The sequence below is a fragment of the Homo sapiens genome, chromosome 11 (genome assembly GCF_000001405.40).
Source record: "Homo sapiens chromosome 11, GRCh38.p14 Primary Assembly".
Taxonomy (NCBI): Eukaryota; Metazoa; Chordata; class Mammalia; order Primates; family Hominidae; genus Homo; species Homo sapiens.
The window spans coordinates 45,605,877-45,610,495 of NC_000011.10; the positions used below are offsets into that span (position 1 = coordinate 45,605,877).

The 4,619-nt window shown below is 50.3% G+C and overlaps 1 annotated feature.

Moving 5' to 3' along the window:
• Positions 651-1,150: an enhancer, noted in NCBI's record as "H3K4me1 hESC enhancer chr11:45628077-45628576 (GRCh37/hg19 assembly coordinates)". NCBI's record gives its function as "activates a minimal SCP1, AML or CMV promoter by ChIP-STARR-seq in naive H9 embryonic stem cells {active_cell/tissue: H9 hESC(naive)}" and the evidence as "EXISTENCE:reporter gene assay evidence [ECO:0000049][PMID:30033119]".

The following is a 4,619-nucleotide window of genomic DNA, read 5'->3' on the forward strand; positions in this document are numbered from 1 at the left end:
CCATTCCCTTGAAGGCACTAGGGAGCCATTGAAGGTTCTTAAATAACAGAGTGACTTGATCAAATTTGAATTTTTTTTTTTTTTTTTTTTTTTTTGGGACGGAGTTTCTCTCTTGTTGCCCAGGCTAGAGTGCAATGGCACAATCTTGGCTCACCGGAACCTCTACCTCCCGAGTTCAAGTAATTCTCCTACCTCAGCCTCCCGAGTAGCAGAGATTACAGGCATGTGTCACCGCACAAGGCTAATTTTTTGTATTTTTAGTAGAGACGGGTTTTCCCATGTTGGTCAGACTGGTCTCGAACTCCCAACCTCAGGCCTCGGCCCGACTCGGCCTCCCAAAGTGCTGGGATTACAGGCATGAGCCACCGCGCCCGACCCAAATTTGAATTTTAATAAACTCATTCTGCCCTCTCAAGTTCTTTCCCTGGCAGCGTCTTGGCCACGACCAGGGCAGTTCAGGAGGGCATCAGGGACATCCTGAGTCAGAGTTGGTGGGAGACATAAGGAAATCAGCGTGGGGTTGAGAGGAAAGCAGGGACCCAGGTGAAGGACAGGACACAGCCAGGCTCCTGATGAGGGACCTCTGTGAAGGGCACAAACCAGGCAACGGGAAGACTCTGAGCCAAGACGCCATTTGTCCCTAGCAGCTCTGAGGGCAAAGGTCCTGGTTCTCGGGCAGGCTAGTTCATCCCTGAGCACCCTGTTCCTGCCCCACCCCACCCCTAGCAGGATCAGAACTCTGCAGCCAACCTGAGGGCCGTGCTGCCTTGGAAATTCAGGTTCCCATCCCCGAGTCAGGCTCCCCCTGCTTCTCCCGCCGCAGGGTTGCCATGGTAACCATTCGAGGCATGGAGATTCTCGCTGAGGCTGCAGAATGGCCCTAAACCTGCCTGAGCTGGGGAGGGGCAGGGAGGAATGGGGTGTTTCCTGGTATTCCCTATGGATGGCTCCTCTCCCTGGTATTCCCCATTCCCTGGCTCCTCTCACTTCCCAGGATAAAAGGTCAAGGGGCTACAGGGCTTAGGAGAGGGGGTGAGGTTGGGTGGGGAAACAAGCCCTGCTGAGTATACAGCCTTGTCCCTTCCTTGGCCCATGGGCCCAGCCCCTGACCATGGCTATTTGCTAAGAAGGGCAAGATTCATTGCACCCTTTCTCAAATGCCTGAAACGAAAACCTCAACAGCCCTCCTGCTGGGGATAGTCTTAGAGCAATAACAAAAATGCCTACGAAGTGTTGAGCACTGAGTTAGCACAGTGCTTAGAGCAGCACACACACAGTCTCATCAAGCAGTCACCACAGGGCTAGGAAGTGCACAGTACACACTTCTTTTTTCTTTTTTCTTTCTTTCTTTTATTTTATTTTATTCTATCACCCAGGCTGGAGTGCGCAGTGGCACAGTCTCAGCTCTCTGCTGCAGCCTCCACCTCCTGGGCTCAAGTCATCCTCCTACAAGCACTCGCCACCATACTTGCCTTATTTTTTAATGTTTTTTTTGTTTGTTTGTTTGTTTGTTTCACAGAGATGAGATCTTACTATATTTCCCAGACTGGTCTCAAACTCCCAGGCTCAAGAGGTCCTCCCACCTTAGCCTCCCAAAGTCCTGGGATAACAGGCGTGGGCCACCTCACCCAGCCAATACATACTTCTTTATCTCCATTGTAGTGACATGAAAACTGAGGCTTCAAGAAGAAACTCATTGGCCCAGGTCACTCAGTCAGCAAGCATTGTGTCCAGTGAAGGCCCCACTCAGTGCCAGCATCCTCTTTAAAAGTCACTGATGGATGATTGTCCACCAGCTACCAACTAGACACTTCCTCTGATGGGGAGCTGACTGCTTAAAAGAGCAGCCCTTATTATTGTGGGGGAGCAAATAGAAAACCCATCCCGACAGTGAGCAGAAGCCAGCATCCCTGAGCGTGGCTACCCTAGACCCAGGTGAGCCCCAGAGGCAATGCCTTCATCCCCCAGCATCCTGGAATAACATTCAGCCTCTACAGAAGCTCTTCCATACAGAGCTGTCAGATGGTTGATTAATTGATTGATTGGTGTTTGGGGATCATTCTGCAGCCAGACACTGGGCTTAGTCTGTGATCAGGGTTAGGGCTTAGTCAATGGTAGAGGCCAGGGGTCACGTACCCAGCCAAGGTCAGGGTTACCATCTTTGCCTGGGTCAGAGATCTGTGAACAGACTCTCTGCACGTTAAGCTTCCAGGCCCTTCCAGAGGTCATGCTGCAATCTTGGCCTCATTAGCGCATGACTCTCACCAACCAGCTGGGCCCATCTGGTTTCTTATTAATCCAGAAGGGAGCTGGAGGAAGCAGTCTTCTGGGGAGTGAGCAGCCCTGGATTAAAGAGCTTGCCAGTCATGCCATTGCCTCCTCTTCTCTGCGGCCAGGAAAGCATCTTGCCCTCCTCTCTGCTGTGGCCTTTGGCCCCTCCCCACTATGGCCAGACCACAGGGCTTTGGCTGATGACCAAGCCACGCTTCCTGTGGGGCCAGAGGGGAGGCAGGTGGGAGGAAGAGCTGGGAGTAAAGGAAGGGCTCTGTAGGAAGGGACATGGTAGAGACATAGAAAGTGGTTGTCATGAGGTTATCCAAGGTCCAGCTATGCCCAGCCATGGCACCTGCCTCTTCCCTTCAGGTGGATGGGTCTCATTTCCATTCTATATGCTTTAAATGGCTGTTCATACTGCATAAAAGCCACTTTCATTCCAGTTCCACAAAACCAGATTCTATTTCTTATCCCCCTTCCTTCACGGCCCATCTCAGGTATTACCTCCCCCATGAAGCCTTCCCCAATTCCCTCAGCTGAGAGGACCACTCTCTGTTCTGATTTACTTGTTAGAGCTGTTTGTAGGCAGGTCTAACCATCCCTATCAGTCTGTGAGCTCCTTGAGGGCAGGACTCATTTTTAGTTCATGTCTCTGTCCCCTGTAATACCCAACTCTTACACATGCAGCAAGTTTAAGGTAAATGTTTACTTATTGGATGAAAGGACATGTGGATGGAGAAATGCATTTATAGATGAAAGGATGATGTCAGAGACACAGGTTGAATTCCCCAGGAAGCAGATCCTGAGCCATAGTTTAGTGTGCAGGATGTTTAATAAGGAGCATGCTTGGAGTCAACACCTGTACAAAGGAGAGAAAAGGAAGCAGGAGCAGGCAGAGGGAAATTCAAGCTGGAATGCAGGCCCCACACCGTGGGAGCTCTGGAGCAAGAACAGCCCTGCAGAGTTGTCCTGATGCACCAACATGATCAGGCCCTTATACTCTCACAATGATGTCATTGGATGTAGGCTGCCTTGGGAAAGGGCGCAATCTTGGGCAAGACAGTTCTCTTCAGCTGAGATAATCCCTGAAGTAACTGACCACTAAAAGCTCTTTGACACCAGCACTCCTAGCAGTTGGAGCAACAAGTCCTCCATTGTAAGGGGATCTGAACAGCACATCACAGTGTCCACCACAGATAGAGATGATAGATGACAGATGATGTGTAAATGCATGGTTGGCCAGATGGATGGATGGATAGGAAAAGGATGGATTCATAGATGTGAATGGTGATTAGATAAATGGATACTTGGATGATGGATGGATGGATGGATGGGTGGATGGATGGATGGATGGATGGATGAATGGGTATCCTGATGATGGATGAACAGATGGATGGATAGAAGGTTGGGCGAATGGGTATTCGGATGATGGATGGATGGATAAATGGATGGGTGGATGCACAGATGCAAGGATGATGGATGAATTGATGAATTCATAGATACATGAATTCATGGATGATGAATGGTTGGGTGGATGACTGACAACGAATGCATGGATGCATGAATAGGTAATGCTTTCCCAACATTTCATGTCATTTGAGTAACTGAATCCTCCCAGTTACTCACCTGCTTCTTCCTTTTCCCTTGGGCAGATTCAAGAAGGGAGCCCAGACAGCAATCTTAGCAAGTGAAATGATCCAGAGCATGATGGCAGAACTCTCCAACATCAGCACACAACAGGGGGTCAGGGAGGGGTCTGGGAACTATTACCTGGATCTATAGCAAAGACCTATAAAGTATTAAGACAGACATGACCACAGGCCCATGACAAGCATGAGGGTGGTGAGAGGCAACGAGTGAGCAGTCAGAAGCAGCATGGACACCAGGGGAACTGCTGTGAATGGCAAGGGTCTTTGCACTGACAAGAGGAAGGGCAAGTTTCAGTACCTCCAGGGTGGGGGAGAGTCTTCCCCGTCCACTGAAGGCCAAGCACAGGTAACCCCAATGCCAGCCACCCTGTGGACTGACCCCTGCCAGTGGCAGCACAAAACCTCTCTTTATACTGTGGCTTTCACACCCTAACCCCCAGCTGGCTGCCCTCTTCTTGTGACTTAGCCACTGGGGGACATCTCAGGTTAATCTCAAGCTTAGAACAGCTTTTGGGGGCCACAAAGACTAGGGACACCCCTCAAGGGCTGATGACAAAACATTGGCTGGGGTAACTTGATGCTCCATGTCTCAGGGAGCAGCTTTCGGTGAGACAGAGCCCACAGGATAATTTGGACTGGAGATGAGGCCATGTCTGGGGATGGAGAGCCTAAGAAAGGCTGTCTTTTCCTCTCTCC